A 12812-nucleotide genomic window follows, 5' to 3' on the forward strand; every position below is an offset into this window, starting at 1 on the left:
CAGCCCCATTGAAGCTGGCAAGTGCTTTATCAGCAGGGGTTCAATAAATGTTGAATGGAGCTGAACTAATTTAGAGTCCCAAGACACCTAGACCTGCACTGTCCAATAAGGTAGTTAGTAGCCACATATGGCCACTTTATACTAAATTAACTAAAATTAAATAAAACCAAATGTCCAAGTTGCACTAGCCACACTTCATGTGCTCAATAACCACGTTATGTCTGTATAGAACATACAGAGCTTATAAGACGTACAGGCTAGTTCTTTACTAGTAAGTCATAGTTACCTACTAAGTATAACTCTGTATTTCTCCAGCTCGTTCGCCTGAGCAAAGACAGTGGCTTCTGATAGCAGCAGCTTCTCCTGGAGATCTTGATAGCGTTGTTTGCATTGTGACAGCTGGGAGCGCAGGTGCTGGGTGGACCCTGGTGGGCTAAACGCTGATTGGGCCCAGTGTCACAAGGCTGGGACTGGTTCTCCAACTGTGAAAGGGGCCAAGACAAGGATCAGGACAGTCCGAGGCCACCCCCATGCAGTGATGACCACGGCCCGTTGTGAACCCCGTGGACTTTACTCAAGTCTGTCACAGCACTTCTCATGCCATTTGGCAGTGACTTGCTTTCCAGATGGAGCTCCTGGAGTGCTGGGATAATGTTTTCTTCATATCTGTATCCACAGCACACAGCACAGCGCCAATCAAGTCTACAGAGGAGCTCTTAGGAAACGTTTTCTCAGTGGTCAAAAAGAGAAGGGGTGGAACCCTCCACTCATCTCCCCTCACATTCTGTGCCATCGATTCTCTCAGAATCCCCTGTATTCCCCATTTTACTGAATCTTCAGCATGGCTCCTCCCCTAAACAGGATCCCAATAACCCATCTGAGGTCCAGGAACAGACACCTGTGATGAGCTGTGACCAAAAAAAAAAAAAAAAATGGCATTGATAAGGAAGGGATGTCATTACATACTACTTGTCTGGGCTGCCTCATAACCTGATGCATCCCTATGTTACAGCAGTTACCCCCTCCTATTAAAATTACCTGTTTATGTGCCATCTTTCCTTACCATATTAAGTATCTCAAGGGCAGCCATTGGTTTTATTGCCCCATGCCAATGCCTAGTGTGTTATCTGAAAAATTAAGTACTCAAGAAATATTTATATTGTAAAAGGCTTTCTAAAGGCTGAATGTAGGCTGAATATTATTACTGTTGTTTGTGGTACAAAGAGACCTTTCTCTTGGTACCTCTTGATTCACATGGGAGAACGTTTTAAAGTAAACACTGTCATCTCGAGCCCTTCTCCAGTGGTTTTTCATTCCATCTAAGCCTACATTGACTTGGTGGGCATCCACTGTGAAGGTAGCCCCAAGGTCAAGGCTCTGGGGTCTGGGGCAAGGCCTCACAGTCACATTCCCCTCCTCTTGGTGTTGGTGCTTCCCAGGAGAACCAACCAGTTCTGTGTTTATTCTGTCGATGGTGCTGGTCAGATGCACAAGGAGCTCTGGAGTAAGTTTACTATTCCCTTCTTTGCTACTCAGCACAAGTTGTTCTTGAGGAGGTTGATGATATTGTGGGCATTCTTCAGTTTTCCCTGGAGCTTTCTGAACTCAGCCTGAAGACTACTCTCACTCAGACCCTCTTTGGCAACCACAGTCTCAACCACCACCTTGCCCTTCTCCTTGTCTTCCTCAATCTCCCATCCCTCAGACATTTCTGCTCTTTCAGCTCTGCATTCTCAAGGCAAAGATGGGTTCTGGGTCTCCACAGTTGCCAGACTTTTCTCCAAAGCCACCTTGAGGAACTAAAAGAAAATCATGCTTTGAAGAAGTTAGGCCATTAAAGAGGGCCCAAGAGAAACATGAGATTGCAAAGGTAGTTTTTGATGAGAACAAAAACAAACAAAAAAAGCAGATCTAAAATGAACTCCCTACCCAGAACCTCCTTAGTCAGGCAATAAGAGCAATAAGATCTCAAGACTAAGTTTTATTATTATTATTATTATTATTATTATTATTATTATTATTATTTGAGACAGGGTCTCGCTCTGTTGCCGGGGTGGAGCGCAGTGGTGAGATCATGGCTCACTGCAGCCACGACCTCCTGGGCTCACGTAATCCTCCCACCTCAGCCTCCCAAGTAGCTGGAACCACAGGTGTGTGCCACTACACCCAGCTAATTTTTTTTTTTTTAATCGAGACGGAGTCTCGCTCTGTCACCCAGGCTGGAGTGCAGTGGCACGATCTCGGCTCACTGCAACCTCTGCCTCCCAGGTTCAAGCGATTTTCCTGCCTCAGCCTTCTGAGTAGCTGGGATTATAGGAGCGTGCCACCATGCCCAGCTAATTTTTGTATTTTTAGTAGAGACGGGGTTTCACCATGTTGGTCAGGCTGGTCTTGAACTCCTGACCTCAGGTGATCATTCTGCCTCAGCCTCCCAAAGTGCTGGGATTACAGGCGTGAGCCACTGAGCCCGGCCCACCCAGCTAATTTTTTTTTTTTTGAAATGGAGTCTCACTCTGTTGCCCAGGCTGGAGTACAAAATGGCGTGATCCCGGCTAACTGCAACCTCCGCTTCCCAGATTCAAGTGATTCTCCTGCCTCAGCCTCCCGAGTAGCTGGGATTACAGGCATGTGCCATCACACCCACCTAATTTTTATATTTTTAGTAGAGACGGGGTTTCACCATGTTGGCCAGGCTGGTCTTGAACTCCTGACCTCAGGTGATCTACGCGCTTCAGCCTCCCAAAGTGCTGGGATTACAGGTATGATCCACTGTGTGCAGCCCCGTGCAGCTAATTAAAAAAAATTTTTTTTCGTAGGCCTGGTGTGAAGGCTCATGCCTGTAATCCCAGCACTTTGGGAGGCTGAGGCGGGTGGATCACCTGAGGTCAGGAGTTCGAGACCAGCATGACCAACATGGCAAAACCCGGCCTCTACTAAAAATACAAAAATTAGCCAGGCGTGGTGGCAGGCGCCTGTAATCCCAACTACCTGGGAGGCTGAGGCAGGAGAATCACTTGAACCCAGGAGGTAGAGGTTGCAGTGAGCCAAGATTGTGCCATTGCACTCCAGCCTGGGCAACAAGAGCAAAACTCTGTCTCAAAAAAAAAAAAAAAAAGGCCAGGCTTGATGGCTCATGCCTATAATCCCACAACTTTGGGAGGCCGAGGCGGGTGGATCACTTCAGGTCAGGAGTTTGAGACCAGTTTGGCCAACATGGTGAAACCCATCTCTACTAAAAATACAAAATTAGCTGGGTGCGGTGGCACATGCTTGTAATCCCAGCTACTTGGGAGGCTGAGGCAGGAGAATCACTTGAACCCAGGAGGCAGAGGTTGCATGAGCCCAGATCGCCACTGCACTCCAGACTGGGTGACAAGAGTGAAACCCCATCTCAAAAAAAGAAAAAAAAAATTTTTTTTTTTTTTCAGAATGAGGTCTCACTGCATTGCCCAGGCTGGTCTCAAACTTCTGGACTCAAGTGGTCCCCCTGCCTTGGCCTCTCAAAGTGCTGGGATTACATGTGTAAGCCACCATGCCTGGCCAAAGACTTACTTTTACAGGAGGAGTATAAAACATCTCATTAGTAATTTTCATAATTGATTATGTGTCGAAATAATATTTTTGATATTTTGTGTCAAGTAACACTACTAAAATTAAGCTCACCTATATCCTTCTACATTTTCACTGTGGCTACTAGAAAATTTTAAATTACATCTGTGGCTCTCATTACATTTCTATTGGACAGCACTGGGCTGGGTGAGATGACTAGGGGCAGAAAGTACATTCTGAGGGCCAGACAATCAAGGTGATTGATACTGGGGTTAGGTTAACTGAAGGGTAGAAAAGGCCAGGTTAATAGGAGGCAGGGACTGAGTAACCGGGAACAAAGTTATCAGAGCATGAGAGAGAGATTCTGGGGGTCAGCCGTCTGGGATATTATAGGGAGGAAGGAGGCTGTGCTACAAGGGCCAAGAGACAGGAGGATGCACTCAAGTTGGCCTGGATGAAGGGACGACCCTCTGCGACTTGGGTGGGGGTAAGGGTGGCAGGCTGGGGCCAGCCCTGCACTCACCGCTTCTGCTTCCTAGAAGGAGAAACAGTGTCACTTGGTACCTCCACCTCAGGGGCGCAGTCAAGACCCGCTGCCAGGCCAGCCTCTGCCTGACCGCCGGCTCACCTCTCTTCTTCCAGCTTCTTCCGCAGGAGGTCCCACCTCCAGGCGGGCATGCTGGCCAGCCGGGCCTCCTCCTCCTCCTGAAACACAACCACAAAGCTTCAGAGCCTGCAGGGGCTGGGAGATAGGGGGCACCCTCAACCTGGGGACCTGAAGGAGTCAGGGTCACAGGAAGTGACCCTTTGGATGCATTTCTGTGGGACAAGTGGATGGAGGTGCCTGGTCACACCCCCTCAGAGCTGGCCTCCTTTCTCCTAGTAACCCAGACCCTTGTGTCCTACAGGAGGCACCAGAGAGATCAGAGCTGAGTGGGACAGAAGCAGAGAAAAAGTAGCCGGGACCCAGAGGTCCTGAGCCTGATTCCCCACAGGGGCAGGTGGCCAATGGCCACAGGTCCAAGATCTCTGGGCAGACGCAGATGCGGGCCCCCACCCAGCCTCTTGGCTCAGGGAGATTCAGGCTGCCCCTGGCTCCCCTGAGAAGGACCTTCAGCCCATGGTTGCCCTCTTCCCAACAGAGTGGATACGTGCTCTACAATCGTGGGGCTGCAATGACATCAGGGGCAGGTGTGGTGTCCAACATAGGCAGTTTACAGCAAACAGTTTTATTTCCTGAATATTACAGAGGAGAAAGGGTCTGTACACCGCACACTTCACACAGAACACTGCACACGTGGCTCCCTTGACCTCAGCCAAGGAGGTAGCTGTGAACTCCAGTGGAAAACCAGAGAGCAGGCCACACTGCCCCAGGGAGGAGCCGCAGCCCCTCACTCAGAGGGGCTTCTTCTGCTGCCTGGCTCCACACAGAGCTCAGCAAGACCACGGGGCCAGAGGGGGACACCTGGTTTGTTCTGTGCCTGCCCTGCCTATCCGACCAACGCCCCACACAACCTGCTCACGATGGGACCTCAGAGGCTGAGGCAGCCTGGTCCTGGGCCCTCCGGGCTGCTCAAGGCCACAGTCCTGGGTTCTTCCCGCTGCTTCACGCCTCTGGAGGGCGTCAGACAGGCGTCCAGGCCCACGTTAAGACGCTCGAGGGTGAACTGCGAATTCCGAATTCCGCTGCTCAGATGTCAAACAGCTCTGCCTCCTTCTCCTTCCAGAAGGAGAAGCTGCGGTCGATGTAGCGGCAGATGTCCTCGTTGCTGAATTCGCCCATCTCAGACACTAGTTCCAAAGGGTCTTCGGCGGGGGCTTCGGAACCCGGAGAGTCTGAGATCCGGGGAGGCGCGGCGGGGAGGCGCGGCGGGCCGGCGGGCGGGCGGGCGGTGGCGGCGGCTGCGGCACAGGGGCCAGGGCCTCGCGCTGCCCCTTGGGCGGGTCCCCCTTCTGAACCGGAGCGGCCTCTTCGGTCCGCTCCTGTTCTTTCCCCTTCTCTTCCTTTTTCTTCGCCTGTTCTTCGGGGGCCGGCCCAGCCTCCAGGCCGTTTCCGAAGAACCTGTGCCTGAGGTCCTCGAAGCCGTCGCTCCAGCCGCGCCGGCCGGCCTCCACCTCCTCCAGCACCACGCGGTGGAAGAGGCGGATGCGCTCCCACGGGTGGCTGTCCAGCCGGTGGAACATCTCGTAGCACAGTAGGTGGCGGAACTTGCGATCCTCGCGGCTCAGGCCCATCTCCGGTAGCTGGAAGTAGCCGAGCATGAAGAGGTCGAGCGTGAGGCTTTCGTAGCGCGGGGGTGCGCCGCCGTCTAGGGGCGACAGGAAGTGCTGGGGCCAGTACACGCCGTGCGCCAGGCCCGGGCTTGGCGGCACGTGCCGCCGCAGGCTCCGCCAGTGGTGCAGCAGCTTGCCCACTGCCTGCCGCTGCCTCAGCAGCTGCCGCAGCCGTTCGTTGGGGCTGTGGGCCTCGCCCTTGCTCACCGGCAGCCGGGGGGCGTCCGTGGCCTCCAGCTCCGGCCAGCACGGGCGGCCGTCACGCCAGGGAGCAGTCTGCCTAGGCGCGCCTGGTCCGCGGAAGGCCCGGTCCGAGGAAGGCCCAGAGGCGCCAGTGCTCCAGGAAGAGGTAAACGATGCGCTCCTTGCGCAGGTCGAGGTAGTCCTGGACGCCGCGCAGTTCCGTGCAGAGGGGCGGCCGGCGCGCCAGCTGCTCGGGCTCAAGTAGCGCCGCCTGGCAATCCTGTGCCTCAGGCGGGCCCAGGGTGTCCAGGGGCTCCCAGTCGGCCAGCGGGCCGTGGGCGGCGGCGGCGCTGGGCTGGCCAGAGCCGGCCGCCACGTAGTCCTCCTACAGGATGGGCTCGCGGACCGGGGCGCCAGCGGACTGCGGGGGCTTGCGGCGCGGACAGCGCGGGGGCGCCGCGTCCAGTGCGCGCAGCTCGTAGGTGGCGCGGTGATGCTGCACGGAGACGCCGCACTCGAGGATCTCGCGCGCCACAGCCTCGCGGCACCAGTTGAGCCAGTGCGAGCGGCCCAGGCAAAGCGGCCCCGGCAGTCAGGGCGCCTCAGGCAGCGGCGCCAGCGGCTGGCCCGTGTCAGCGGTCGGCAGCTCCGCCAGGTGCGCAGGCCGGCCGCCCAGCGCGGCTAGCAGCGTGGCCATGCTCTTGAGCAGCGTGGAGATCTTGCTGCACCAGGCGGGCAGGCTGGCGGCGCGGCCATGCATTCGGCGCGGGTCGACGGTGAAGCGCGGCTCCACAGGGCGACGGAGATGGGCAGCAGCTGCTCAGCTCCAGTTGCTCCAGGCGCGCCTCCAGCTTCTGCGCCTTGTGCAGCACCTGCAGGTTCTCGATTGCTGCTCGATGCGGAGGATGTCGGCCTCGGTCATGAGCTCGCCAAAGGGCCAGAGGATGGCGTTGTGCTCGCGGGAGTACCTCCAGCCCTCGCGGGGGTACCTCCAGCCCTCGCGGGGGTAGCAGCACGAGCTGGCGGCCGTCAGCTAAGGCGGGGAAGACAAGAGAGGGGAGGGAGGCGCGTCTCCCTCTGGCCCAGCTCCCGCCGTGGCGCCAGGAACCTTTTGCATGTCCTGGGTGGTGTAATGGCTCCGCGGGGCTGCGTCTGCAGGGAGGGACCGCGTCTGGCCGGCGGGGGGTGACGCTGGGGTGAGGCTTCGGCCTGAGCCGCCGCTCCAGGCTCTGGGCAGTGTCCACTTTGGTCGCTGGCGGGGGGCACGGCCGGTTGCTGCTCGCTGCTGCGGCGGCAAGAACAGGCCAGCAGACGGGGTCTCCATGCCTGGCTTGTTCGCTCATTACACCACCCAAGGAACTTGCCAAAGGCCTTGAAGCTGAGAGGCGCGGTGGCCCGCCCCAACCCATCCGAGGGCGGCTATTGTGAGGCCTCTCCTCCCAGACTCATGACCCCTTCTCCAGCTCCCCTGTGGCCCAAGCCTTCCGCTCCCTGTGGTCAATGTTTTATGTGCAGAATGAGAGGCCACTCCTCTCTTAAAGAGGCTGCAGCTGCAGCTTCCACTGAGCTGCCCACCCTTCCCCTCCCTTCGTCGTGCTGGACAGCTGGGCACCGTAATATTCTCATTTGCTCACTTTTCTCCACCTCTGATGTCCAGTTTTCCCCCCTGGGCCTGCCATCGCCTCCACAGAGGTCCCTGATTCATCTTGGCCCTATGGGATCCACTCCCCACATACAAATAGGAAGCAGCCTCTTCCCTGCTTAACACTCCCCGCACCCGGCTCCCCAGTGCTCCAGGAGAAAGTCCGTTCTCTTCTGGGCCTCTGGCCAGGTCTTGGTAACCTGGCCCCCACTGAGGTCTCTCCAGCTCAGCGACCCCCTTCCTCCAGGACAGTCAGGGCCACATCCACTCTCACTTCCAGACTGCCCTGTCCCACCTGCGGCTCTTCAGCCCCCTCTCTGCCTGGCCACCCCTCACTCGTCTTCCAAGTGTTACCTTAGACATCACCTCCTCCTTCCCTAACACACCCCCCAGCCCACGTATAAGGTGGCCGGTTAGGGCTGCCCCAGTCCCCTGCGTTCCCCATTGCAGCTGGCTGTGTTGCATCAGCCCAGGTACTTCTCTCCACTGCCACCCACTCTCTCACACTGCCCCATTTTGTGTGCTTGGTGACTCGCACACATGTCCGCAGCCACCTTAGAGCAGGCCTTGATATGTTCACCATGAATCCCCAGAGGCTACAAGCGTGTGGGGCACATAAATGGCACTCGGGGGCCAGGCGTGGTGGCTCACGCCTGTAATCCCAGCACTTTGGGAGGCCGAGGCGGGCAGATCACTTGAGGCCAGGAGTTCAAGACCAGCCTGGCCAACATGGTGAAACCCCATCTCTACTAAGAATACAAAAATTAGCCGGGCATGGTTGGCGGGCATCTGTAGTCCCAGCTACTCGGGAGGCTGAGGCGGGAGAATCACTTGAACCCAGGAGGTGGAGGTTGCAGTGAGTCAAGATCGCACCACTGTACTCCAGCCTCAGTGACAGAGTGAGACCCTGTCTCAAAAAAATAAAAAATAATAAAAATAAATGGCATTCGGGGAATAGTTTTTGGATGAATGGAAAGCAACTCATCCTGCCAGCTGGTGCTGATCAGCTCACCTTACAGAGAAGGAAACTGAGGCTGGATGAGGCTCAGTATCGGCAGCTGGAAGGCGGCAGCGCAGCAATGGAGACCAGGTCCCTAAGACTGAGACCAAAGCTCTCTTGGCTACTCAGTGTGGTCCTTGGACCAGTGTCATCAGCAGCCTCACCCAGGAGCTGGCTAGAAATGCAGAACCTCAGCCCTGCCCAGACCTCCTGAATCCGAACAGGCCTTTTAACCAGATCCCAGGTGCTGGGCAGGTGAAGGAGAGTCTGAGAAAGGCTGCTGTCTCACTCCAAGGACAAGCTGCTGGGGGTGTGTGTGGAGACTGGGACAAGCCCCAAACGGGGTCGTGCCACCCTGATTTCCCTAAAGAAGATGGCCGGGCACAGTGGCTCATGCCTGTAATCCCAGCCCTGGCCAACATGGTGAAACCCCGTCTCTAATAAAAATACAAAAAAATTAGCTGGGCGTGGTGGCATGCGCCTGTAATCCCAGCTACCTGAGAGGCTGAGGCAGGAGAATCATTTGAACCCAGGAGACAAAGGTTGCAGTGAGCCGAGATCGCGCCACTGCACTCCAGCCTGGGCGACAGAGCAAGCCTCTGTCTCACGAAAAAGAAAAAAAGAAAAAGAAAGAAAGAAAGAAAATAGGAGGTCCCGAGGTTGGTGTTGGGGGTGGCGTGGGGGATGGGCTGTGCATCCAGATGCAGACCCCAGGGCTCCCTGGGCACCCCGCCCCACCCACTTTCCACCTCTGCTCCTCCTCCTCCTCCATCTTCAGCTGCATCTTGCCCACCATCACCTGGCGCTTCCACTCGGGCTTGGGACGGCCCTGCTCATCGTGCGTGGGGATGAGCGCCTCCACGTCCAGCTGCACCCCCGGCGCAGGAGTAGTGGGCGGCACCGGAACCAAGCTTCCGTTGAGCAGCGGCTGAAACCCCGCAGCTGGCGGTGTGGGGCTCCGGACTGGTAACAGTGCAGGTGACACAGACGGCAGCGGCCAATCGGGCTGCAGGGAGAAGCGGTGGGGCTGAGCGCCTGGTGGCCTAGGGCCAGGGAAGCCGGGTCGCAGGCTCCTGCTGGGCCCGCCTACCTGGAAGGCCGGCTGCCTGCTGCCTGAGAACACTGTGGTCAGCCCCTTGCTCTGTGGCGTCGGCTTCAGGCTCTTGCCTGCCTTAATCTCAGCCAGTAGCTCCGAGTTGTCGCCCATCGGGAACATCACGTTGAAAGACTTGGTGCCTATGCAGAGGCAGGAGATGAGGCACTGGCCAGGGTGGGGCTGCATCCCTGCCACCCCTCACCCGCCCCTCTGCAGCCCCCTTCCCAACTCCAGATTGGATGGGTGCCCATCCTCGGGGCCAGCGGGCAGCTCTCCAGATCCCAGGTCCTGCAGGCAGCTTTCAGGGCCCCCAGAGGCAGGCCCTTGGTTCCCCGACTGTGGCAACCCCACCATCCTCCCCCACCCTACTCACGGGATGGAGGGCCCCTGCCTGGAGACCCCTGGGAGTTCATGGTGGCTCTTGGGCATATATTCCTGCCCAGCCACTGACTGCCCAGCCCCAAAACACTACCTGGAATCAGCCACCGGACCTTTGTCCCAGGTTTCCTGGCTCAGCCCGGCTGGGTGGAGCCTCCCTCTGGCCCTCTCCCTACATCAGCAAAGCCTCAGTGACCCTTGAGCTGAGTCAATTGGGGCCTCCATGGACATGCAGAGTCCAGACCCCAGAGTGCCAGTACCACCTGCTCCCCTCCCTCGCCACCACACCCACAGACAGACGCACAAGCAGACACATTGGTTGCAAGCCGGGAGCACATTTATGGCAAAGCACGGCTCAGCTCTAGGGGAAAGCAGAGCCCTTACTAAGGCCACAGGAGGCACCCAGGAAGAAGGGCAGCAGGTAATATGCAAACACCCAGGGCAGAGGGTGCATTTTCTGGCTTAGCCGGAGGAGGCGAATGGAGATTTGGAGAGATAGGTCTCTTGAGTCCCGATGAAGGGGTCAGGTCTGGGAGGGAGGAATAAAATGGGCCGACAGCTCTTGGATTCCCAGGCTGGGGATCCCAGAGTGCAGTCACCGGGAGGAGAAGAGTAGGAGAAAGGGAAAATCGGTGTGGCTTACTCATTTATTTAGGCAAAACCATCAGCCAGGCGCAGAATGCTTGGGTGCATATGTGGGTATGAGGGTAGGTATGAGGTGCAAGGCCCCACCCATGCATCGAGGTTCTCTCGCCTGCCAGCCCCTGCCCCTGCCCTTTCCTCAAGGCTGGGCCCCTCCTCCCGTGCTTTTCCTGCCTCTTCCCCCCACCCCGCGCCTCAGCCTCAGCCAGGAGCCGCGCACGCAGCTACTCACTCTTCCTGTGCCTCAGGACTCTCACTTCTAGGGACCAAGAGGAGAGAAGTGACAGCGGAGTTAGGAGGGAAAGGGGGCCAGGATGAGACTGGGATAGCAGGGGACAGGGAGCGGGCCAGGGAGAGCAGGAGGGGGGAAGTGGAGAAGAGAGGAGGAGCATTTCTGCCCATCTGACCCTGGCTCAGGCTGCTCTGGGGCCCCATGAGGGTGGTCCATCGAGTTCCTGGTTTGGCTGGTGCCCCTGAGGGCTGGGCAGGGCAGGGCCACCAGTGGCTCTAGCCCCCAGCAAGGGCCTCCACCTTGGCACTGGGTTGGGGTAGGGCACCCAGCCCTGGCTGTGCTGGGTGGGGGTGTCTGGGGAAGCCCAGAGTATATTTTTCTCTGCCCTTAGCTTCAGCCCTGCTGCAGACTGTGGAGGGAAGGAGAAGGAGGCTCGGCAGGTGCTGGACATGCTTCCATGGGCTCTGGTCTGCAGGGGCTGGGGCTCCATAGGAACCATAGGGGGACAAGCTCTGCTCTGCACTCCTAGTCAGGGAGATGAAGCTTTGAGGGGTGCCACTAAGCATGATCTCTGCCCTGAGTGGCTGGGTGATGAAGGCACCCCAGCCAGGCTGGGATGGGAGCACCACATCTAGGCACCCTGTCCTGGGCCTTCTAGGTGTCCTGGCAGGGGGACACTGTCCCACCCTACAGAAAAGAAGCCCAGGAATCCTGCGCCAGTCTAGCTCTTAAAAAGGATGCCTAGGGAAGTCACCGGGGAGGGAGGGGGAAACATGGTGGGTCACAGCTTTGCCCCCATAGCCAGGCTCTGGCTGGCCCAGGGCCCCTGGCAGGAACTGGCTAGGAAGAGTTCCTGGCATATCTAAGAAGGCTTCAGGTCTGTGCTGCTTGGAAAGACAAGAGAAAGACGTGGAGAGAGGAAGAGAGGCTCAGGATAGACAGGGGCAGGGGGAAGGGTGGCCAGCTGCGGGGCCTCTCTGAAGCTGGTTCGACTTCAAGTGTCCCTCCAGTACCAGCTCATCAGAAACACCAGCACCAGCTCATGGGAAACACCAGCGCCAGAGCTGGAAGGCCCTTTCTAGCCCGTGGGAGGCAGGCCCAGAGAGGGGAGGGGACTTGTCCAGGCCACACAGCTAGAGGGTGGGAGGCAGGCCCAGACTGGGGAAGGGACTTGCCCCAGGCTGTGCAGCCCGGTCCTGCTTTGGCAGGACCTCAAGCAACCCAGAGCCCTCTCTTAGGGTCAAGTACTCAATGCGGTAGGGGTGGCCGGAAGACCATGTAGAAGAGGAAGGACCCGGGCAGTGACAGCTGGGGAGGGGGTGGTGTCTAGATTTCCCTCCCCTTTCAGGGCTAGCGCCGCCCCCCACCCCTCAACCTGCCCCTACTCACTGCCGGTGGGCGAGGAGGAGCGGCGCTGCCCGCAGCCAGGGCCAGCGCCCTCGAGGGGCAGAGGCGGGACCGGCGGCGGCGAACTCGCGGCCTCGGGCAGGGGCGGCGGCGGCGGCGGCGGCGGCAGCTGCTGCTCCCTGGACGCCTTGGGGTCCGCGGCGCAGCCGTTAGGCACGTGGTTCCCAGGGAGTTCCGCCTGCGGGGATGAAGGTGGGGGCTCACCTCCCAGCTTAGGGAGAGGCTGAGGGGTCTGGGTCACATCTGGCCGGGGGCGCGTGCAGAGCCGCGGTCAGGTGTGGCAGAGCAGTTGGGGCCCACGTAGCATCCGCGACGGCTGCGCCGCCTGCGGGGGAGCGGAGGGGCCTTCGAGCGAGCCGCGGGCGGCAGGGCCGAGGCGCGGGCAGCCGGCGGGCGCGGGCTGGCGGGC

The 12812-nt window shown here is 58.2% G+C and overlaps 1 pseudogene across 1 annotated transcript in view, besides 3 other annotated features; it reads right to left on the bottom strand.

The window, feature by feature from the left end:
• Positions 1 to 4177: 4177 nt before the first annotated feature.
• The window catches only part of ESPNP (espin pseudogene), a 28940-nt pseudogene continuing 20305 nt past the window's right edge, over positions 4178 to 12812 (bottom strand). The window contains exons 8-11 of the transcript NR_026567.1: positions 12386 to 12581; positions 9739 to 9884; positions 9391 to 9654; positions 4178 to 4254 (exon numbers count right to left, since the gene is read on the bottom strand). The product of NR_026567.1 is annotated as an espin pseudogene (transcript). The remainder of the gene's footprint in view (positions 4255 to 9390; positions 9655 to 9738; positions 9885 to 12385; positions 12582 to 12812) is intronic.
• Positions 6084 to 6910: an enhancer, noted in NCBI's record as "H3K27ac-H3K4me1 hESC enhancer chr1:17019619-17020445 (GRCh37/hg19 assembly coordinates)". NCBI's record gives its function as "activates a minimal SCP1, AML or CMV promoter by ChIP-STARR-seq in naive H9 embryonic stem cells {active_cell/tissue: H9 hESC(naive)}" and the evidence as "EXISTENCE:reporter gene assay evidence [ECO:0000049][PMID:30033119]".
• Positions 6911 to 7738: an enhancer, noted in NCBI's record as "NANOG-H3K27ac-H3K4me1 hESC enhancer chr1:17020446-17021273 (GRCh37/hg19 assembly coordinates)". NCBI's record gives its function as "activates a minimal SCP1, AML or CMV promoter by ChIP-STARR-seq in naive H9 embryonic stem cells {active_cell/tissue: H9 hESC(naive)}" and the evidence as "EXISTENCE:reporter gene assay evidence [ECO:0000049][PMID:30033119]".
• Positions 7739 to 8565: an enhancer, noted in NCBI's record as "NANOG-H3K4me1 hESC enhancer chr1:17021274-17022100 (GRCh37/hg19 assembly coordinates)". NCBI's record gives its function as "activates a minimal SCP1, AML or CMV promoter by ChIP-STARR-seq in naive and primed H9 embryonic stem cells {active_cell/tissue: H9 hESC(naive and primed)}" and the evidence as "EXISTENCE:reporter gene assay evidence [ECO:0000049][PMID:30033119]".

Source organism: Homo sapiens, chromosome 1 (assembly GCF_000001405.40).
Source record: "Homo sapiens chromosome 1, GRCh38.p14 Primary Assembly".
In the NCBI taxonomy this organism is placed as follows: domain Eukaryota; kingdom Metazoa; phylum Chordata; class Mammalia; order Primates; family Hominidae; genus Homo; species Homo sapiens.